At 34.4% G+C, this 24,894-nt stretch overlaps 1 protein-coding gene across 7 annotated transcripts in view, besides 1 other annotated feature; it reads left to right on the top strand.

Annotated features, from left to right (window-relative positions):
- The window catches only part of KCNH7 (potassium voltage-gated channel subfamily H member 7), a 467,361-nt gene that overhangs the window by 107,759 nt on the left and 334,708 nt on the right, over positions 1-24,894 (top strand). The gene's annotated exons all lie outside the window — the stretch shown is intronic.
- Positions 18,887-19,408: an enhancer, noted in NCBI's record as "OCT4-NANOG hESC enhancer chr2:163568111-163568632 (GRCh37/hg19 assembly coordinates)". NCBI's record gives its function as "activates a minimal SCP1, AML or CMV promoter by ChIP-STARR-seq in naive H9 embryonic stem cells {active_cell/tissue: H9 hESC(naive)}" and the evidence as "EXISTENCE:reporter gene assay evidence [ECO:0000049][PMID:30033119]".

Below are 24,894 nucleotides of genomic sequence, written 5' to 3'. Positions count from 1 at the left end.
TCTCTTATACTTTGTTATATATTTTAATTTTCATATTAGGTCAATAATTCACTGCAATTCAAGTTTGTGTATATTATAAGGATAGATCCAATTTTAGTTTAGCTTGCCTGCCTGCCCTTTCTGTTTTCTTTCTGCTTTCCTTTCTTCTTTATTTTGATAACCAGTTGTCTCATCACTTTTAATTTTGTTGAAGATTTTTGTATCCATGTTCATGAATGACACTGGAACATATTTTCCTTTTTCCCGCTGATATTGTTTTGTTTTTATATCAAGTTTATACTAGAATGATTAGGTGAATCAGTGAGTTTCTTGATTTCTAGTGTCTGCTATGCTTTATGTAAGATTGGTAAAAACTGCCTATCACACCACATGAGTATTATTGGCCAGTTTTGGAGGGAGGATATTTGGAAAGGAACAGTTTTTAACCTGTTACTTCCATTGTCTTAATTGTCATTTGTTATTCAGATTTGTAATCTATTTTCTTGTTAGTAATATTAAAATGTCAATATAGAAATTTATAATAGTATTCTTTAATGATTTATTAAATTGCTTGTCTTTAGTTTTGAGTCTTTCACTTCTAATACTATTTGTGCATTTCCTAGTTTTGTTGATTTCCCATTTAGGAAATGCAGTTTCATAACAAAGTATCTAGTATGTAATTTTTAATTAATCTTGCTTGAAATTTCTTTTACTTATAAACCTGAGAATTCATGTTTCACAAGAATTCTGGGAAACCCTCAATCATAAGCATTTTCAATATTGACTCTTTTCCATTCTATTAATTCTTTCTAGTATTCTTACTAGATATATTTTGGATCCATGGTTCTTAATTTCTCTTTCATATTTTTCATCTTTTTTCATTCGACATCTTCTAGTTTTCTAATTTGGCCATGTCTAATATAATGTTTAAACCATTCTTTTTTTTTTACTTTTATTACTGTAATATAATTTTCACACGTTGTATTTACATATTTTTTAAGATCAACCTGTTCAAATTAACTTGCTTTTTTATGTTTTCAATTTCTTATTCTATATGTGATATAATTAAAGCTACTTATTTTATAGACTTGATTTTATTGCTAAATAGGAAAACCATATGATCATCTCAGGAGATGAAGAAAAAAAATTTTCACAAAATAATTCAACACACACCCAGCATGAAAACCAACCAATAGAACAGTAACCATATTTGTAGAAAACGGCCAATAAAACAGTATTTTCTCAAACTTTAGGACACCTTAAAATACAGCTTATTAATAACATCACATCTCATGAGGAAAGACTGAATACTTCCCCCCAAAATGAAAATAAAGCAAGAATGTCCACTCTTATTACTTATAGTCAGCATTTTATTGAAGGCACTATCTAGTTTTAAAAGCATGGAAAAAGAAATTAAAAGTATGCAGGTTGGAAAGTAAGAAGTAAGATTGTCTGTATACACAAATGATAAAAAAGTTACTAGAACTAATTAATGAGGTTACCAAATCTGTTGAAACCAGATCAATTTTCAAATATCAATTGACAAGCTGATTCTAAGATGTATATGGGAATAGAAAAGATGTAGCTTAACTAAAACAACTATGGAAAAAGAAAAAAAGAAAAACAAAATTGGGGGACATATATTACTTGATTTCAAATTTGACTAAAAAGTCAAAATAGGGTATATTCAGAGAAAATTAGCCGGGCGTGGTGTCGGGCGCCTGTAGTCCCAGCTACTCAGGAGGCTGAGGCAGGAGAATGGCGGGAACCCGGGAGGTGGAGCTTGCAGTGAGCTGAGATCGCGCCACTGCACTCCAGCCTGGGCGAGAGAGCGAGACTCTGTCTCAAAAAAAAAAAAAAAAAAAAATTTGGGTATATTGACAAAATGACAATCATATAGATCGATGAAACAGTATAGAGTCGAGAGACAGATGTACATATATATGGGCCAAGGTAATGTAATAGGGGAAGGGCAGTCTTTTAAACAAATGGCGCTGTAACAGTTACATATCTTTGTTTAAAAAAATAAAAAAAAAACTTGAACCTTACTTCACATCATGTACACTAACTCAAAATAGATCATTGATCTAAGTATGACAGGTAAAACTATAAATTTTACATGAAATCTTGGAGAAATTTTCATACTTTTGCATTAAGCAAAGATGTTCAAAATAAGACCAAAATTACCATGAATTTTAAAATAATATTTGATAACTTGGCTTCATCAAAGTTTTTTGTTTTGTTTTGTTTTGAGATGGAGTTTCACTCTTGTTGCCCAGGCTGGAGTACAATGGCGCAATCTTGGCTCACCACAACCTCTGCCTCCTGGGTTCAAGCTATTCTCCTGCCTCAGCCTTGCAAGTAGCTAGGATTACAGGCGTGCACCTCCAAGCCCGGCTAATTTTGTAGTTTTAGTAGAGACAGGGTTTCTCCGTGTTGGTCAGGCTGGTCTCGAACTCCTGACCTCAGGTGATCCGCCTGCCTTGGCCTCCCAAAGTGCTGGGATTACAGGCATGAGCCACCGCGCCTGGCCTCATCAAAGTTTTAAACTTCTGCTCTTCTGAAAGACACTATCAAGAAAATAAAAAGACAAGACACCTACTGGGAAAAATATTTGGAAAACATATTTCTAATAAAACTTGAACCCAAAATATATAAAGAAAATATAAAAAACACCACTCAAACAGCTTCATTTTACAGGCAAAATCTTTGTAGAGACATTTCACCAAAGAAGAATACAAATGGTAAAACAGCACATAAAAAATTTATCAAGATCATTAGTCATTAGAGAAATTCAACTTAAAATCACAGTGATAAACCACTACTTACGTTTTAGAATGCCTAATTAAAAAAAAAAAAGCTGATTAAGTCCAAATGTTGGAAAGTGAGTGTATCAACTAGAGCTGTCATATACTGCTGATGAAAATGGAAAAAAAAGGAGTTTTTAAAATAAAATTAATTATTCACATATCATATGACACAGAAATTCCTCTCCTGGGTATTCTCCCAAGAGAAATGAAAACATATGTACTCATGAACATATATATATGCACATTCAATATATGTATGTTGTTTACAGTGAGTAGCTTTTGCATATATTTTGCTAAACTTATCCTAAAAAAATCCTTTCATACATTGGTGCTAAAATTTCAATTTTTGTTCATTCCTGGTATTAAGAAGTTCAACTGATATTTGGAAATAGATCTTGGTTTCAACATATACCTACATTCATAGATATATGAATTGTTATAGTGAATATATTAATAGCCAAAACCTTGGAAACAGCCCAAGTGTTCATCAACAAGAAAGTATGTAAACAAACTGTTCTATATCCATAAAATGGAATACTATTGAGCTACTAAAAGGAGACAGTAACAACATGGATGAATCCTAAAAACATCCTGCTGAGGGAATAGAGGAGAAAAAACATTACTCTGTAAATAATAGTCAGTAGTATTCTATGTATATGGAATTCTTTAAAAAGTAAAACTGTAGTAACAAAGTACATCAATGAACGTCTGGGACTATGGGTAGAGTGGGGTGACGAAGATCAACTACAAAAAGATGTAAGGGAAATTGCATGGTGATGATTTTTATATTGATTATGTAGAGTTTAAACCTATGTCAAAACTGTAACAAATGGGTCAATATTATTCCATGTTAATTATATTTTATTAACATGAATTTAAAAACAGAAATAATTTTGTTATACATCTCTATTATGTTGTGCCCTGAGACAAAAAAATCTTAATAAAAAATCTTAAACTGTTTTATATAAGCATATTTTATCAGTAACATCACTCTTGTTATTCTAAGAATTTTGTATGTATACATAGTAGAGAGCATAAAAGCTATTAAGCTGTCCTTGGAAACCAGGACTTTTGGAGTAGATTATGGGAGAAAGAGACATAGATAGGTATGTTTAAGTAAAAACTCTGTAGTGCTAAATTTGAATAAAAAGTATCTGTATGAATGCATGATATTTTGATCTTTAAAGAAAAACAACCCTATCTACTGAAAAACAAGTCCTAAAAGTAAAAACTGATTCAGCTGCAGTGATAAGCCCCCTCCCCAATAATTACATTGTAGTTCTTATGTACCACTTCCCATTAGAATGAATCAGTGTTCCTTGGGAAAATAGCTGACCACTCAGGTCTAGGGTGGCAAATGAACATAGAGCCCAGAATGTCGTATCAGAAAGTAAGGAAACTATTAAAGCCATTAAGAACATGTCAAAAGATACTGAAGCCAATTGAAAAGCCTTCCACACACCAAAAATGGGGCAATTTGACCATTAAAAAAGAATAATAGGCTGGGTGCCATGTCTCACGGCTGTTATCCTGGCACTTGACAAGGCCGAGGTGGGCGGATCACTTGAGGTTAGGAGTTCAAGACCAGACTGGCCAACACGGTGAAACCTTGTCTTTACTAAAAATACAAAAATTAGCTGGGCGTGGTGGCAGGCACCTGTAATCCCAGCTTCTCAGGAGGCTGAGGGAGGAGAATCACTTGAATCCGGGAGGCGGGGGTTACAGTGAGCCGAGATGGCGCCACTGCACTTCAGTCTGGGAGACAGGGCAAGACTCCATCTCAAAAATAATAATAGTCATAATAATAACCTCCAAGATTAAAACCCTTGAAATATGTATATGAGTTTATAATAATACTTGTAAAAATTCATTGTTACTCTTCAAGGAAACCAACTCATTCTTTTTAAAATTGGCAAGTAAAGGGAAATAAACACTTACCTTATTTGGTATCTGAGGATAACCATCAGCAAAACTTACACTGCAGAAAACCCTACAGAACAAATGACCCAGTTTAAAATACTGTTTAAAATATATAAAAAGAAAGAAAAATAGAGGTAGGCTTAGTGTATAGATCAAAATTATAGATGAAAATTTATAGGTAAAAATCTATAGATCAAAAGAGATAAGGTATGTTTCTACTAAATGCAATGAGTGGACTAGTGTCCCAATTTAAACAATTTTTTAAAAATCAGAGAAATTTTTGTATTGATTGGCTAATATTTAAAAGCATGATAATAAAATCGTGACTGTGCATTTGTTTTGAAAGAAAATATTCTTTTAGAAATACATGCTGAAATATGTGCAGATGACATGATACGGTATCTGGAATTTGCTATGAAAAATCTGAAGCATGGGGGATGTAGGTAAGGGTGAAAATGAAAGTTACCCATGAGTTGATAATTATGTAAGCTGAGTGTTTTCTACATGGGGTGTTTTTACTCTATTTTCTCTTATTGTGAATAGATTCAAAATTTTCCACAACAAAAAAGTTTCATAATGTCCCTCTGGGCAAAATCACTTGTGGAAGAAAACAGACAAGACCTAGATAGGAGTGATTAAAGAAACAAAACAAAATAAAACAAAAGCTTGCCTTCTCCCTTTTGATGGTCTTGTTCATGAATAACTTCCCAGTGCTTCTATTATTCTAGTATAGTGAGAAGAGATTGAGTAAGACAAGATAATTAAACTTCAGATAATATAGAGTACCTTTGGTAAAAAGACTGCATGAAAGTTGTATGAACATATTCTGAATGTATCTTCCAGAATGCTTGCAGTTACCCTATGATTAAAGATTTTTGGTTATAATTATGTATTTTAAAAGAAAAATTCTGCCCTAAAGAACATTCACTATAAAATGTAAGCAGACATGGTGATAAATGTTTCTTTTTACAATTTAAACATAATTTGCAAAAAAAAATTAAGGAAGACTTTTTTATCAATGTGATACTATTTATACTGTTTATTAAACAGTTACAATAGGAATATGATTAATTGCATATAATCAAAGTGAATATAAAGTATAGGAATGAGTATTACGAATAACAAATTTGTGTTTGCATTATTCAAATTCAAAGTTGTAACTAAATCTTATCCAAAATATTTGAAATAATCTTCTTTGATTCTAAACACCATTGAATTGAGAAAACCACAGTTATAGCTAAAATTTGACTTACGAACTTTCTTTTTCAAATTACAGAAATATTCTCATCAGCAAGCTGTTGGCTGATGTGACCTTAGCTTTTCAGAAGACATTCCAAAAATAAAACACACTTCAGTGAGTCATGAGAAAAAGTATTTTTCGGGGATACTGCATAGGATTTAAGGAAGTAACCTTTTCCTTTGATGCAGTAAGTTGCTATAATATCTATTTGACTATACAGTAGTCCTTTCTTAGCCATGGTTTTCTTTCCTCTGGTTTCAGTTATCCGTAGTCAACCATGGTTTGAAAATAGGTGGGTATAGTACAGTACAAGATATTTTGAGAGAGAGAGGAAGAGAGAGATCACATTTCTATAAATTTTATTACAGTATATTCTTTTTTTTTTTTTGAGACGGAGTCTCGCTCTGTCGCCCAGGCTGGAGTGCAGTGGCGCGATCTCGGCTCACTGCAAGCTCCGCCTCCCGGGTTCACGCCATTCTCCTGCCTCAGCCTCCCAAGTAGCTGGGACTACAGGCGCCCGCCACTACGCCCGGCTAATTTTTTGTATTTTTAGTAGAGACGGGGTTTCACCTTTTTAGCCGGGATGGTCTCAATCTCCTGACCTCGTGATCCGCCCGCCTCGGCCTCCCAAAGTGCTGGGATTACAGGCGTGAGCCACCGCGCCCGGCCTACAGTATATTCTTATGTTTATTCTATTTTGTTATTGTTAATATTTTACTGTGCCTAATTTATAAATTCAACTTTATCATAGGTATGTATGTATAGGAAAAAATATATAGAAATAATTGGCACTTTCTGTGGTTTTAAGTATTCATTAGGGGTCTCAGAACATATTCCTGGCAGATAATTGGAGGCTACTGTATTCATTGTTAAGACTATGAGGTGCGCACACACAAACACACACATACACAGAGTAGGTTAAATTATGTTAACAGGTCTAGAAAATTAACTATCATTCTAAACTAAAAAGATATTAGACAGGCTGAAGTTATACCTCATTATTACCTGTTACTCCAAAGTTGTTGTTTTGCTCTAACTCGTTTTCCAAATTCACAACATAAACTGCAGGTATTAGAAAACTTTTCATTCTAACTCTTTCAACCAATAATTTTATTGTCAAATTCATCTTCCCAGGAAAATATAACAATAACCTATATTTGAAACTGTGTATATTGGTCCTTAGTTATGATTGTAGCCTTCATAGTTCTGGCCCCAAAAGTAAGGTATTAATGTGCTTTTATATACTGTATACTTTTTAAAAGAATTCCTCACCACCTGTGGGTAACAAGATATTCTTTGAAAATTATTTTTTCATAACTATACTTTTACCTCTTACATTTGGGTTTTAAATATATTTGAATTTCCCTCATATATGTACAAAAAAAGAAACTGAAGTATAAAGATTGAAAAGTTGATCAACATTGGGATTTATAAACAGTGTGACTCTATAGAAAAATGAATAGAATTAACAATTAGAGTTAGTAGGATAGGTTAGCAAAGTTGCTAAAGTTAAACTGAGCAAAAATAATATGGTAGCCCCCTGCCTTCATCATTGGGTGGTACATTCCAAGATTTATCCTGGTTGTCATGTGTGGCAGGGATTCCTTCTTCTTTCTGGCTGAATAATATTTCTTTGTATACCACATTTTCTTTATTCATTCATCTGTTACTGGATATCCCTTCAATTGGCAATGTACATGCACAACTCCAGAGAAGAAACATGCACAAGAGAGGATTTGAGAGGCCTGTGGAGTTTCTGTCTGGGCTGATTGGTGGGGGTTTTCTCCTGTAAAAGACTAGTTCATGAAGACCAGGAAAGGTGGTTTTTTTTACTAATATGCATGTAACAATATAGAGACTTAAGGGAAATGAAGAAACAGGTAAATTATGGCCCAAAGGAACAGATACATCTCCAAAAACTAACACTAATAAAGAGATATATAATTTACCTAAATTATATATAAATAAAATAGCATCTTTATGGCAGATAAATTAAAATATCTTCCATAAAGATGCTCAACAAGGTCAACAGGATACCAAGGTCAGCATAAATAAACTGAGGATTTTAACAGAAATTCTATGAAAATTTACCAAACAGAATTTTGGATCTGAAGAATGCAATAACTGAATTGAAACATTCACTAGAAGATTTCAGCAGCAGACTAGATTAGGTTAAAAAAAAAGTCAGCAAATTTGAAGACAGATCATTGGAAATTACTCAGAGAAGCAAAAAAAAAAAAAAAAAAGAAAAAAAGAATGAATGAAAAGGATTGAAGAAAACATGATGATGAGTTTATGGGACACAATCAATGGGCCAATATACACACATATTATGTGAGTTCCAGAACAAGATAAGCGAAAGAAAGGGCCAAAAACTTATTCAAAAAAATAATAACTGAAAACTTCCCACATCTGGTGAAGGAAATAGATATTCACATCTAGGAAGTTCAACAGATCACAAGTAAGATGAACCCAACTGGTCTACACTGAGACATGTTATTATCAAACTGTAAAAAGGCAGATGAAAAATTCTGAAAACTCCAAGAGAAAAATGACTTGTCACATATTAAGACATCCTCATAAGGCTATTAGTGGATTTCTCAACAAAAGTTGCTTCTCTTTAAAAAAAAGTCTACTATTTTCTGATTATCTTCTTCTGCCTTCTGTTATAGTACATCAATTTTATTTTCTTATTCAGTAAATTATTATTTGGATTTTTTCATCTTGTACTTTTCTGATCTACTTTAATATGCATTTCACATTACATTGTTTATTTCTCTAGTTATTCTTGAATATTTTTAATGACTTCTTCTTCTTACTTCATCACTATATCTACCTTAAACTATCTGAGTACACTTACTATGCTATTTTTAATGTTTTGAACTTTCTTTTCTAATAATTTTGGTTCGTTTAGTAAAAAGTGTCTATATGTTTCTTTCATCCCGTGTGCTTATGTTCCCTTAGTGGTATTGACTATTACACTAGTAATACGTACTAGTGAAATGTTGAATGCTGACCCCTAGAGTCATCATAAAGAAGTATGTCATGATTAGAATTTATATATGGCAAAAACAAAAGTGTTCAATATTACTATTTTTCTGTAAAGATTTTAACATAATCACCTTCTACTGTTTCTTTTATTTTAATTATGTATAATTACTTTGTAGGACTTAAAGTTATTCCGCCATCATTTTTCCTTCATTGAAACATTAAACATAGCTCTGATTTTCTTTTTTAAATAAAGATAATCAGATACTTATTTGAAATTCTTAATTATTTTTTATAATACCTGAAATTTTTTAATTTCCGTAAATGAGACCTCAGGCCTTCAAAATGTCTTTGAATTTGGTGTAAAAAATTTACTTAGAGCACTTGAGATACAAAATAATGAAAGCATACTAATTACATGTTATTGTATTTGGCCAGTAAGAAAGAATGGCTAAGGCAACCAAATGGTTAATCCAAGCATAACCATGCATGTATTACACAATTTTTCTCACCTTCCGTATTGAACGTTGACATCAAGTAATATAAGACTGCTGATCAGAGGAAGTGACCTGAGGGACAAAATAGACTGCAATGTGACTGGAAGAAGAATCTTAGTGTCTGCATCTTTTAGTATCTTTCACTTATGTAGATATTGGGGTAAAAATAAAAATTTGTGTCTTCTTTTCTGATTTCAGATGTCTTTCCACATATGTAGTGGCATTCTGCTACCAGCATGGCTGACCCACAATAGCTGATTTTTAAATCTTTAGGAATTTTGTAATGAAGTTGTTAAAAATCATTTAAAACTATTATTAAAATTAAAGTCATTTTAAAATGCCAGCCAATATTAAAAATTAACTTCTATATACTTACAAATATTAGTTTACTGAATTTTACTATCATCTATGCTCTTGAGGTTATTTGCAACTATTTTCTGAATGGTAGAAATGCCACACAATGATGTGCTGCTGTGCATCTCTTCTCAGTTTCACATTCTGCAGCATCAGAAGCTGGTAGCTTGAAATGAGTCGTAGCGTTAGTATCTATACCTCAGAAATCTGCAAGCACCGCACCTCAGGATTTGATTTATTGTTTTGTAGATAATCTAAATTTAAGAAAATGATAGAGAAAATGCTAATAAGGCAAATTACAAATAAAAGTGTGTAGAGCCTGTAGTGGTTATGTTGTGATTAGCACAAAAAATGAGGAAATATTCTTCTAGTATTCACAAACTATTATCTAACTCAACAAAGGAGTCACTCATGTCGAAGACAAACAAGTGAGGTTTCTACACCTACCACAATTGCTTCACTTTCATCTTATTCATTATCATAAGTGAAAATATCAACCAACAATCAGGTCAGAACTACACTAATTCATGAATTGCAACCATTTTGGCTATAGATACCAGGTTCAGCAAAATTCAACTGAAGAATTATGTGAGAATTAATGGACTATATGAAACTTACAACAGAGTATTGTATATATTGTTATTATTTTTAAATTGTGTGTTATACAACCTTTATATCAGTAAAAGTCATAGTAAACCTGCATATGTATAAATGGATATACATATGTAGATTTTTTAAAAATAGAGCTGGTTTTTAAACACCTGTGAGCACGCCACTACCACTGTGCACGTGGATTAAGTCTCAGATAACTCCAAATATCCATTTAACTTCTCACATCATGGTTCATCCTTTGGTTCATTGTCTCTCTCCCTTTTTCTCTCTCTCCCTCTCTCTCTCTTTTTTTTTTTTTTTTTTTTTTTTAATCACACATCACTAGATGGTGAAGGACATGAGAGTACCCAGGAAGGAAGGCTTATAAAGAATTTGTGATTTTAGTTGATCTCTTACACTTGACAGAGAAAGAAATCTGCACCTCAAATCTTCTTCACTAGGGCTGTATGAAGACTAGCATTTCAGCAAACAGTTGCTGTAGAGATGCAAATCCAGTTGGATTCAGCATGAAGTGTGCAAGTAAAAATACTTGATTCGTGGACTTCCTGATAAGACCTATCTCAAGGCAGCAATAAAGGCTATGTATGACCATTGTCTCAATACTTGCAAAAATAACAGAAACTCAGATTGAGATTGGAGACTTTTCTTGGCCATAGCTAACAGCTCCTAGTATTTTAAATATGATTAAACATAACCACAAATGAAGAGTGTATTATTAAATAAGGTTGCAGGGAACTATTTAAACAAAGACTCTTAACATGGGGGGTAAGTCTGCATGGCAAATTCATGTAGACCTTTTCTGTCTTAGGAGAGGTTATTTTGTTTATTTGTTTGTTTGTTTTTTCTTCAGTCTGAGGATGTTGATTGAAAATTGCTAACAATTTGAAATAGCGAGTAGGTTGAAGTCATGTTTTTGTATTTAGTAACCAGCCCACATATTCCTATTTAAAAACAAGGTTGCAAAAATTAGGGTTTTCACTCCATCTGTTTAAAACTGGTTTTCCTAGTCTGGGAGTTCTTTTTTAATATCATAAAATAAAATATTTCTCACTAAAACATGACAAAAACTTTATTACTAAGAAATCAGAGCTATTCTGTGGAGATTTGGAAAGAAAAAATAATCCAGTTCACTTTAGAACAAATCCTCTCATAGTTACCCATTGTTAGTATTTTGACATTTCTACCTTTTAGAATACAAGTTAGGATTTATTACATGTCATTCAGCAAGAATAAACAAATGAAAAAACCCTGCAGCTAATAAATTCAGCATACCTGTAATGAAAATAAATGCTGGTATTCCATGTTTTTTGCAGATTTACTAGATTTTCCTTAAAAGAATGGATTAAGTATAGATATTCACTGTATACAATATTTTACAATAAGGTTCTTTGAAATAGCAAGCTCCCACTAATGAGCTGAATAAAAGAATAGCTAGGATGGAAGGAATTGTAGTGAGTAGGCCTACATACACATTGTCACTACCAGGAACTAAGGCTCTGTTATCTTGTCTGAAACATACAGCTAGTATATATACATACGTACCCAATGGGGACAAGAGCTTGTGTCACCTAACTTCCCTTCTTTCAGAAAGAATAAAATTATCAGTGGATTGGAAGAGAGGTGGGAGATTTTGTTTCCAAATTCTTTTCTGCATCTGAAAATTTTTAACTCTGACTCTTAAAATTGGATAGCCATACAACATGTCAGAAACATATCCACCGGGCAAAATAAAGTTTACTCACTTACCTAGTGAACATGACTTTATAGAGAGCAACTAAAAAGGTATCCATATGCAGAATCAGAGACATTTGAAATTAAAGGATATGTGGAGACTAGAGAAGAAATGTTTTATTCTAAACTCTGTATGTTAACTATAAACATGGATTGATACTTTTTAAACATAAAATATATCATAATATAAATATCAAAATGAGTGTTGTTCCATTCAATAGCATGGCTCTTGTTATACTATGACACTCACAACCCAATTTTGAAAGTTCTTCCAGAGCCACTTTATGAGCCATCAGTGAAAAGGAGAGTCTCATTATGTTTCAGTCCCAACACATTTTTGATGAAGAATGTATAAGCTCTGCTTTGTTCATACCATGTTCTCTACAGTGGGCTTTAAATGATTTCAGGCTATTTCCTAAACCAAGTCTACTCTCAAAGAGATAAAACACATTCACTGTTAAATGTATTAATGTTATGTTAAATTTTCACAAGCTCTTAAGATAATTATAAAAAGTTGCAAGAAACATGTTTAGACAATGATGGTCATTGAAGTCAGTGCACCACCTGCCAGTAGGTTGATTTTGAGATGAAAACACTACTTGGAAGTTACAGCCTGATATGTTAAAAAATGTATATGGCCATACCACCCTGAACGCATCCAATCTCATCTGATATGTTAAAAAAAATCATGTCACATTTTAGGTGCAGATTTCTTTCTCTGTCAAGTGTTAAGAGATCAACTAAAATCACAAATTCTTTATAAGCCTTCCTTCCTGGGTACTCTCCTGTCCTTCACCATCTAGTGATGTGTGATTAAAGAAAAAAAAAAGAGAGAGAGAGGGAGAGAGAGAAAAAGGGAGAGAGACAATGAACCAAAGGATGAACCATGATGTGAGAAGTTAAATGGATGTTTGGAGTTAATCATGTCAGTTAAATGTGGCATGAGATTTTAAAATAAAATATAGGTGTCCAGAGTTTTTAGGGCTTCTTCTAGATGTCAGCTAAGGAATTTTATTCTTTAGGGACTGTTTATAATTGTACTTTTCAAGTAATACTGAATTCATTTCAATAATCAGCCTTTATCTCATTCATTCATTCATTCACTCAAGTGTCAGGAATACAGCTGTAGAAAAACAGGCGCTTATTCTCCAGTGAAAGAAACTGAAAATAAATACGTGGTGACTAATATAAAGTCAGGGTAAGAAGAGCTATGGGGAAAAATTAAGCAAAAGAAGGATGTGTTAAGGAACGCCAACTTAATCAAGAAAGTCCTCTTTGAGAAGCTGACAAATGAGCATAAATCTAAGTGCAGATAGTGGAAATGTGTTCCTACCAGAAGGAACAATTGCATAGATTCTGAGGACTTTGAAGAATGACAAGGTGCAAATTGAGGCTGAAGAGCAGTGAGCAGGAGGCTGGTGATAAGAGAGATGGACCTTTCCTTAGCATGGAGTTTGGAAAGTAATGAAGGGCACAGTACCTGGAGTCAGATCATTTGGATCTACATGCTAGCTTTATTGAATATTATCTGTATACAATTTACCTAACCTCTCCATGTTTTGGATCCCCACCTGCCAAATGGGGAAAGCAGTAGTAATGTCTCATAGATGTGCCAATTAAATAACATGCATGGCACTTTACATGTTGCATAAAAGATGACATATTAGGTGAAGAAAGAGTAGAGACATGAAGTAGTATCTTTTTTAAAAAAGAACATTGTCTGTTCACATATTAAAATGGGAAACCTTATAAAGATTTAACCTTTTAGTTCTACCTTGTAATTAGGGCTTCCCATGCAGTTATTTCTTTCAACCCTCTCTGCAACAGCTGCCATTTATTTACATTTAGGTTTAGCTGCCTTTCTTTAAAGCAACACTCTTTCTACCCAAGATCATAATAAAAAAGGCAACGTTTAATGATTTTTTCTATAATCACAGAAGTATTAAATGTTCCCTAAAGACATTTTTAACAACCAGAATTATAAATATAAGAAAATAATATACATCATGGCTGTAATCACAGAATACCTTCCAAGATCATTACATATTGGTGAATTGAACTATTTCCAGTGATTTAATATTGTGGTAAATGTTTGATCATATTTTATGGCCACAGTTTGAATCATATTGGTCTGCTCCAAAACTTGTGCTCCTTCTTCACATAAACTTATAGCATAAAATACCCTGGGTATAAGAATGCCAAAGAGCTTTTGAAAAGGGCTTAATAGTCAATGATATCTTCACTTATTGAGAAAGCCCTAATAAATAATAATATAAAACACTTTACTGTAGCATGTAAGTACAATACTATATTAGCTGGATAAAGTTTTATTACAAGATCGTGCTAATGTAAAGCACTCAGCAATCTAGGAAACAGAGATGAAAGAACACATATAATCTATCTTCTGTTTAACAGACAAGAATCCTGAGACTCAGAGAAAATGCTATCTGTTTAAAAGTCACAGAAGACAAAACAGTAAATTTTTAAAATACCAAACCTAATTCAGTGCCTTTTTAGTTTTTGAGAACAAATTTTTATAGAATAAATAACAATCACGTGACTAGACTTCAAAAAAACTTAGAACATTAATTTTTAGGTGGGGTTTTCTTTGTGTGCTGATCTGCAGCCATGAACTACGAGAGCCTTGTTTCACTAAAGGCTATGACCAATCAGAACTTTGAGAAGATTTCTTTTGATAGTAAGTAAGATAATATCATAGAAAAGGACTTGAAGTATGGAAATCCACTATTTTAAACCTATTTTATATAGATAGACATTCTATTTTGAAACTTTTAGAATAAGAAGCACAGCAATGAAGGAAAAGTAAGGAATAATAAAATTTTTAATTTGTTTTAAAAATTACTAAGATTTGTTAAAGGACCTTCCGAAGTGTGGTGTGCACACACACACACACACACACACACACACACAAAGACATGCTCCCAGATGGAAAGATCTATACTGTAAACATATCAGAACAACCCAAATTAATCTATACATTTAACATAATTTTAATCAAAATTAATTCTAAACATACTTCCCATACTTTCCACTTATTTTTAAGTAAAGTTTTAATTTTGAGATAATTGTAGCTTTATGTGCAGCTTTAAGAAATCAGACAGAGACATATATGTACCCTTTATCTAATTCCCCCCATGGGAACAACTTGCAAAACTGTAGTACAATATCACAACCAGGATTTTGACAATCATTTTCCAAGACACTGCTTCTGTCACAATTGCTGACGTACCATTGGCCCAGCAAATAACATGGCTCAATTTAGAATATGGGGCAAGATAATTTACTCCAACATCTTGTTCAAAGAAGCTACAAAGTCCTGGTGAAGGGCATAGCTACAGGGAGAGCTGATGATCTGGGGACATTATGGGATCAGTCCACCATACCAACTGATATAGTTTGGATATTTGTCCCCACCCAAATCTCATGATGAATTGTATTATCTGATGCTGGAGATGGGTCCTGGTGGGAGATGTTTGAATCATGGGGGTGGGTCGCTTATAGATTGGTACTGTCTTCGTGACAGTGAGCTCTCTCAAGATCTGGTCATTTAAAAGTGTGTGGCACTTACCCACTTCTTTGCTCCTGCTTTTGCCATGTGAAATGCCTATTCCCACTTCACTTTCTGCCATGATTGTAAGCTCCCTGAGGCTTCCCCAGAAACAGATGCTTCCTGTACAGCTTGCAGAACCATCAGCCAATTAAGCCTCTTTTTTAAAATAAATTACCCATTCTCAGGTATTTCTTTATAGTAATCCACAATGGCCTAATATACCAACTTATGACATTGCTGTAAGGATGAAATAGTGTACTTCAAAGCCCTTCGTATAATACATTTTACACATTTTGTTACTCTCATATTAGCATGATATTCTCATTATTAGCATGACATTTATAACAAAGCTGTTTTTACTAACCTATAGCTTTAGGACAGAGGTCAGCAAAGTTTGGCCCCTGGGCTACACCTGGCCCACTATCTCTTTTTATATAGCCCGTAAGAATAGGTTTACATTTTTAAACGATTGAAAAAAGAATTAAAATTTAAGGATAATATTTTGTTTCATGTGGAAATTATATAAAATCTAAATTTCAGTGTCCATAAAGTTTCACCGGAACACAGCCATCCTCAGTTTACATATTGTCTAGACTGCTTTTCCACACCAATGGCAGAACTGAGTAGTTGCAAGAAGAGCTATGTGGACTGCATTGCCTAAAATATTTACTATCTGGTCCTTTACAGAGAAAGTTTGCCAACCCCCTGTTTCAGAATATTTATGTGGAGCTCCTTAGGTTTTAAACAGACATTTTTAAAGAAGTCTAGCCTGGTTATTGAGTCACTTCTCTAAGATCCTTCAGTGAATATTTGGAAGGGTTAGGACTGCTATTACATGTGACTTTGACTAGAAATATTGTTAATGTACCTGCTTTGTCAGCTTAATACATACCTTATTTTCCTCCCTCACGGCTCTTTTGTTTTAATATTTCAACTTCACACTAGCTGGCTATCCCTGTACTCCTTGCAGCCCAGGTTTGGAACATTAACTGATATGAGTCTTAGTGGCTAGTTGTTGCCTGCAAAATTTTCCTAAAGAAAAAGTCCACTCCTGGAAGCACGTGTCAATTCTCCTTCCTGTCAGAGGCAACAAAAACTATTAATATAACCCCCAGGCTGGAGTCTATTGGCTCTGACCTAACTATTTAGGTTCAAGCTAGACATAATCCTGCAGAAATAGTGGATAATAACTAGTAAAAGGAATAGGCTGGCACGGAACTCAGATATTCCAACTACAACTGTTAGAATAATACTACATTGGCTAGGCACGGTGGCTCATGCCTGTAATCCCAGCACTTTGGGAGGCCGAGGCGGTGGATCACCTGATTTCAGGAGTTTGAGACCAGCCTGGCCAACATGGTAAAACCCCATCTCTTCTAAAAATAGAAAAATTAGCTGGACATGGTGGCAGGCGCCTGTAATCCCAGCTACCCGGGAGGCTGAGGCAGGAGAATCACTTGAACCCGGGAGGCAGAGGTTGCAGTGAGCTGAGATCATGCTATTGTATTCCAGCCTGGGTGACAAGGGCAAAACTCTGTTTGAAAAAACAAAACAAACAAACAAAAAAGAAAAACAACAACAATAATACTACATTACTCTATATGTGTGGTTCATAAGATGTTTAGCTCACATTTTCAAATCATCTTTATTTTTTAAATTAAATAATTTTTTATCGAAATAAACATGTCAGAATTAAAAATCTACCCTCAAGCATACCATTATGCTTATATATACTACCTTTCAGTTTTGAACTACTTTCAGTTATCAATATATTTAATTTTATGGCTAGTAACTAAACTAGCCTGAGCAATTTTATGTAATTCTTCATAATCAAGTGTAAACATAAGCCTCATTTTTTATCTTTCTTAATGCTAAAATAAATTTCTAGGTATTCAGTACAGTTTGGGATCAAAATACTATTAATTTTGGCCATAGGTACAAGCCACGAGACATGTCCTCTGTCCATCAGATATTTTGTGGCTCAAACAGCAGTTTTCTTAACACTTCTTTGTCTCAGAATTTGCCTTCCCAGTTGAGATGCTCTCTCTTTCTGTCTCAACTGGTGAAATAAAGAATCTACATCCCTGTTGTCTCTTGCAGTAAATACGTCGTCTATGTCTGCTTTTTCCAATCATAAGAAATTGTCAGGAGCCTGAGACCAGCCTGGCCAACAGACCAGCCTGGGGAAGCCCCGTCTCTACTAAAAATGCAAAAATTAGCTGGGTGTGGTGGTGGGTGCCTGTAATCTCAGCTACTTGGGAGCCTGAGGCAGGAGAATCATTTAAACCCAGGGATTCATCCTGAATCAGTTATTTGAACTCTGTACACATCTTTCCCTCTACATGACTAAAAACGAGAGTGATTACAGCCAGGTAGCTACAACTTCCAAAACAGCATCCAATTGGCATTTTACAATCAAATGTAAACACTTTTTCCCTTTACTTTAAATGAAGTAAGAAGAACTTTTCTTCTGCCTAGCAAAGCTCAGTGAACTGCTCTGACAAGTGGCTTGGAAAGTGAAAGCTGAAATTGGCTTCTATGCTTTTTAAATGGTCATCTAAATGATACGTGTTGAAAACTGACAGCAAGTAAGTTGCTAAAATAACAGTATTAAAGTATTCATATACTAAAAAGGACACTATAGATATTTTAGAAAGTGTACATTAACCTATTTCAAGAACATTTTGAGACCGAATTGTTCATTTAATCTGTCATCTTCCTTTGTTTTAAAATCACTCTGAGAGCTGTCTGTTTCAAACTCTCATTATTTTAAGCCATTCTGAGTTTAGACGAATAACTGTATCTGAACCATTCTCCCCTCTTATGCAGCAGAAAGTCAGCTATTTATTCATGAAAAACTAGAAGAGAAAGTGGAAGGGGTTTCAGAGTAGGACTCTTGGAGAGCACTCTGCCAGTGCCAGAGAACAACTTTATTGAGTTAGGTAGAGATGGACTTTGGAGCTGGTGATAAAGTAAAACAGGAGACATTTTCACAAAGAGAACCAACAGGTGTGCTCAGAACTGCAGAGAAAAAAAAAACGTGCATCACAGGGGCAATTTTCTGTGATTCTCAAAAATCTGCTTTTGTTCAGCTGACATTAAACTTCTTCACTTTGTTTTTCAATTCTAAAGATGCCAAGAATTCACTGGCTAAAAATATGAGAGGAAAAACCATGCTACATTTCAAAATTTAGTCACTTTAAGTGCCGTGTAAAGAGTCTTGTACTTGAGGGCAAAGCACACTTTGATCAAAGCACTTGGGTCCTGTTGTGAAGCTTTGAAGAGAAAATGCAACATCCTAAGCGCATAACAATGAAAAAGGGAAAAAGACAGATGGGAAGAGAAGACCAAGAAACTGCTCTCCTTTTGTCATTTTCTCCCTCTTTATCCTTTCATATCTATTGCCCTTAGCATTTTTTTTGTTTGTTTTGTCTGTTTGGGCCCCTTCCCTTTTCCTTTTTTTCCCTGCCCTTCTGAAGGTAATAGCTATTATAAACCTGCTTCACTGTAGGAACTGAGGCTTCTGCTGCATTCTCCTCTTTTTAGAGGAACAAGAAAACGTTTACTGTGTGAAGCATTCAGAACTTACTCTGGTTGTCAACTTCTAAGTTGAGAGCATATTTTACCCTTTCCAACTTTTGAGTTATGTTAACTGCTAAAGAGTAACATGACTTGTGGGCATTAGGAAAACGTCCTCCAAGGTTGAACGGGCACACAATAGCTCAAAGTTATTCTTATAATGAAAAAAATAAGAACTAAATTTCCTTTGAAATCTATTACTGAAAATGCAGGATGAAGATGGAGGTGGGGTACTACTTGCGATTTTTGTTGAGCAACGCACGTTGCAGAAGTCTTTCAAATGTATAACCTGTTTCCCAAAGGACCAGCCATTTCTCCCATTTATATTTTATCAAGGTGTTGCTGGTCAGAGACTGTTTTCAAGTGCCTTCCTGGCAAAGCCAGAGACTAATAGATTAATGGTGGTAATAGCAGCCTCAGTGAAAGAGTTCTAAAAATACAGTACCTTTCAAAATCTCTGCTGATACAAAGGCCGGATGATAACATCTAGATTATTGCTCTAGGAATATTTTCAGCCCAGAGGGCATGCACTGAATAAAACAGGGGCAAGACTATTATGTAATCTACATTTCCCCTTAATAACTCTGGCCCCTGGCCTTGTGGTTTTCACATATCGTTTCAAAGACTTTCCTATTATTTTTAGACAAATATTTTTTCAGACACATGGAAATGTATTATAGAAAGTATAATGGTAATTTTAAACATCTTATAGGTTAAGTTTTTTTTTCTGTGGTTGTGGAGTTGAAGTGACATTGAAGAGGATCATGATATGAATCCAAAGCAAAATTGCAAAATGGCGGTTTGTAGGCCATAACACATCTGTTCTGCTTGAACTGTAATATATTAGAAGAATTTGAGTCAACTTTTAAAATCTATAAATTTCCCATTAAAAAGTCAGGGTGCCCAGCTTCTCCTGAAAACTTGGAAGATCTGGTTGCACTAAGTCTATATTCAGAAACAGCAAAAATCAACCAAAGCTAAGTAGCAGCAGCTGCTAGCAGGCAGCTCTGGCCAATGTTCCCTGGAATCCTTGATACTTATTGCATCCTTACGCAGTCCTTGTGTTATATACCTACTGTCCTCCCACTGCATTCATGCATACAACTTTCCCCGAAGGCTTTTGAGTCTGTGATCCTCATTCCAACCAAACACTAAAATTAGAATGTGTCTTCTCCTAAATATTAATAGACAATAGTGCTAACTTGCTTGCACTTTCTGAGTGTGTGTGTAAACACAGGTTTCTGATGACTCATTGTGCAATTCTGCTGCACAGTGTACTCAGCTTCTCCGCAGGGCCAGTGCCAAAGGACAAACAATAAATAGGCTTGGGTCATTAGCAGATCAATGGAAACAAAAATAGAAGTTCTAAAAAAAATTCTAAAAATAAGCTTATCTAATTTTATTATACATGCATGTTTTGTAGTTTACAGCTTAGCATTGTTTTGTTTCAAATTGTTATGGCATTCCCCACATTCATTTTAGTGCTTCAGGGTCTATAAAAGATTTGTCTGGCTAATTCTGAGCAACTGGCTTTCAAAGCCCCTCTTGAGTCTTGGAGATAATTTTGGGTGTCAGATTTATTTCATACGATATGGAGCAAAGCTATTTTAACATCTGACCATCTCTGCTCACATTATTGGCAAGTCTTTGGCTGTCACCCTGGAAAACTAATTTACTTCCACTTGTTCTTTTCTTTTTTCTTATCTGTCTTGTTTGATGCTCATTCATGTGCAGAAGGGTGGGTTCCCTTCAATATCTACTCTCATCCTTTCAACATCTACTGTTAAACTACCAAGCTGTATATCTTCATAATTTCAGTGACAATATACAATTTTAAGGACATGGTACATACTGGGCAGTCTGCAAGGGTACAGATTATAAGTTTGACAAATATTCAGGGAGGAAAGGTATTTCTAAAGGTTAATGAAGATAAAGAGTTCTTAGGGAGGGCTTGAGTAGAGCATTTGCAGAGGCAATGATGGCTAACAAGTCAGGAGAAAGGAATTCTGAACACAGTAAGAAAAACAAAGGCTTAAAGATAGAGTTTGCCTTGGGTTATTGGGAAAAGTATAAACAGATCTGTTTGGTTGGAGTAAAATTTTACAAAAGAAGAGAGGGACAGAATGTAGTGGACCTTGAATTCCAAGTTTAGAAGTTCAAAGTTTATTCTACATAGATAAGAAATAGCTACAGAAGACTCAGACCACCATCTTATGTGAGCAATTAAGAACTTCTGCCTTATGAAACCACTGTTATAGATGATCACCCATCTTATTTTTCAGTTATTTTAGGGGAAGGAAAACTGTTAATGCCCACTGGATTGAGAAGTTTGGTTTCCAGGGTTTTGCTCAATCATCAAAAATAAGGAATGAGCTTCTGGATCTAGAGATTCTCAGCACTTCACTGTCACATTATTGTTCTATACTTTCTTAAGCTAATACTTGTATCATGCCTACTCTGAGCTAAACAGTTTTAAATACTTTGTCTTAAATTTCAGTTTTTAATCACTCTTGAAATATCTTTTTTCTCCAGGACTAAAATGAACTTTATTTAATTATCACGATAAACCTAGGAGATAGGTACTAATACCGTCTCTATTTTGCAGATGATAAAATTAAAGCATATTTGGAAACTTAGGGCATAGTAGGGTTACAACAACTTTTTAATGATGAGCTTCAGCATGCTACTGCCCCACTTCTCTCCATCATAAAGTCTAACCTTGATTCTTTCATTTGTATAATTCCTTAAATAGTAGCACTAACAAGATAAGAGCAATCATCTATTGAGTGCCTACCTTGTACTTCTCTACTATGTGTTGGTACCAGTATTAGGTGATTCCAAAGATATATTCAATTTTTCTACATCATAGCTGTGTCATCTGGTATTCTGCAACTCTGATTTTCCCCGTCTCTATGACATCTACAGTGTTCTTTCTCTAGTCTTTCTCCAGGATGACAGGGTGTGTATGTAATGTTGATTCCTTTACAGATGCACATTATATATTTGTCATCAAATTCTCACTACTTGTAACCATTCTACTTATCTCTAGTGGTTCTCTTTGGCACTCTATTGAACAATGATTCCAATCTTTAATCCTCCCAGAAGCCCTCGTTTCACCCCTAAATCCTTTCACTTAGAAAATGGCCTTAGAGAAGATGAGCTTCCTGAGCTTCACTCTTCTCACAGTAAAAAATTCTCACCTATCTCTCTCCCTCCTTTGATCCTGTATTAAAAGATGAGGTGTTCCCCTAGAGAGGAAACTAATTGCTCTACTTATACCTCTAGGCCTGTGTCCCTCAATACTTTCGGGACTTTGATCTTCAATGCTTTCATTTTTAAAAATTCTTTTTTCTTTCTCTAGTCCCTACCTCATATTCCCTGGCCTACAAATAAACCCACCTTAGCTTTACTAAACCAAGACTTTCTCTGGGCCCTAACAATAATCTAGCTGCTGTCTCAAGTCTTTCATTCCTTTGTCTTAAGGACTCCCATCCTGACCTTGTCAATATTTTGTATGTTTATTTGACAATATATTGTTGAGGGCCTACTATATGCTAAGAACTATTCCATGGCCTGGAAAATTCACAGTAAACAAAATAAAATTCTTTGTCACTATGGGTATTACATTGTAGAAGGGAGATAAATTTATTAAATAAATAAGAACATATTTTACTGTGGAAATTAAGAGAGCCACCAAGAAAAATAGGGTAGGCAAGAGAAATGGGAAGTAGATGGGGAGGTTATAATTTTAAGAAGATCAGAGAGGGAGGAATCACTGAGAAGGAAATATTTGAATAAAGTTTAGATGAAAATGAGGAAGCAGACTTCATGGATATCTGGGAAGAAAAGAAAGCAAGTGCAGAGGCACTGGGACTGAAGAGTATCTGCTTATTCTAGAAACCACCAGGAGGTCAGTCTGGCCAGAACTGATCAAATGGGGTAAACGTAGTAGTAGGTGATGTCAGATGTGTCCAGTGATGTCTCTTTTTCACTTCTACTGTATCCTTCCCTACCTTGCATTTTTTGAGGATATTAATACTTCTTTATATCAGAGCTATTTATATACATTTCCTACATCCTTATTTGAATTTCATCTTCCTTACAGTAGTATTAATCTTCCTTACAGTAGTATTTATTCACTCACAGACACCACCTTTGTTCTTTTGATACAATAGATGTGCTTGATCAATATTTCTTTAACATAATTAAATTATACAAATGATGACATTAAAAATGAAGCATTTCTTTCAAAGCATATTTAAAATTATTTTAGTTAATTTTTTTCAGATACAGCTGAGTGCTAGCTACATAGTTTATGACAGAAACTATCTAGTTCGTATCCTCCAGTTGTAAATAGAATGATATCTATTAGTCAATTTGGCCATTACCAACTGATATCAATGCTTTCTATCTTAAAGGTTAATGATCCTAGTTCTTTTTACCTTTTATTAAAATTTATGAATTCTGTTTGCTCTTTCAAATCTAAAGAAGTGTCAGATATTCCTGAATTAACCTCAAATTTATAGCTAAGATTTTTTTAAAAAACTAAACAAAAATGGAATCAATTAGATGCTTTATAGTTACACCAATTTGTGTTGTCTTTCTTTACTTTCCAAATCCACAGAGAATAAATGATGTTCTTTGAATGTAAAATCTCTTGAGGCAAAAAAATGGACTGTCACAAGATGTGTTAATAAGTTGTGTTCTTGGGCTTGAGTGAATGCATATTCTAGTGTGCTGTTAAAGAACACCATGAAACCGGAGATAGCCCTTGGCTTTCAGAAATAGAAAGCTCCCCGCTCCAATTGTACTCATTAAAGTTCTCAGTTACACACGTTGTAATAAATAAAGTATTGGTTTAAATGACCAGACCAACCTCTAACTGTAGTTATTGCCTTTTTAAGTATGAGAGGCAATTTTAACATTATTATTTTCTATGTGGACAAGCATTATGCCAAGCCTCTTCCCTCCTACAGGCAGCTGCATTTCAGAGGTGGTGCCATGACTGCCCTGTGGGTGAAGGCAATTAGAGGCAAACAATTTATCAAGAGCTCTGTAAGCTTCTGAAATAAAAAACATGTTACAGAAGCACCAGTTAGTATTTTTTGGTGGAGTTTGAACATCTTTGATTATGTCAAATGGTAGGGTATTAAGAGTAAAAACATTGTTTTACTCTTATCTGAGCTCCTGACTGGGCTCTGCCATTTGCTAACTATGACCTTGTGGGGTTACCTAATGACTGTGACCATCAGTCTTCTCATCTGTAAAATAGGGAAAATAAGGTCCCTCTTATAGAGTTGTTATGAGATTGTAATAAAGCACATAAAGTACATAGTGGGAAGTATATGGAAACTGTTCAAATCATCATTATCAATAACAACACCACCATCATTCATATCATAAGCATGATCATTGACTTACTAAAGTCATTTTTATGGAGATTATAGATTTTCTCCAGTTTTTTACTATTGGAAAAATTATCAGTTTCTTAAGGTTTCTGTAGGTTAAAAGGGGGAACTTTAAGTAAGTCTCCAAGGTTTACTAGGTTGGCTAAGACATCCAAACTGCAACGAAGCACCACGGTCTCCAGCACAGCTCCCTTAGTCCTCCTGT

This window comes from Homo sapiens, chromosome 2, assembly GCF_000001405.40.
Source record: "Homo sapiens chromosome 2, GRCh38.p14 Primary Assembly".
NCBI classification, from domain to species: domain Eukaryota; kingdom Metazoa; phylum Chordata; class Mammalia; order Primates; family Hominidae; genus Homo; species Homo sapiens.
The sequence above is the reverse complement of the archived record's forward strand: the minus strand, read 5'-3'. Positions and strand labels throughout refer to the sequence as shown.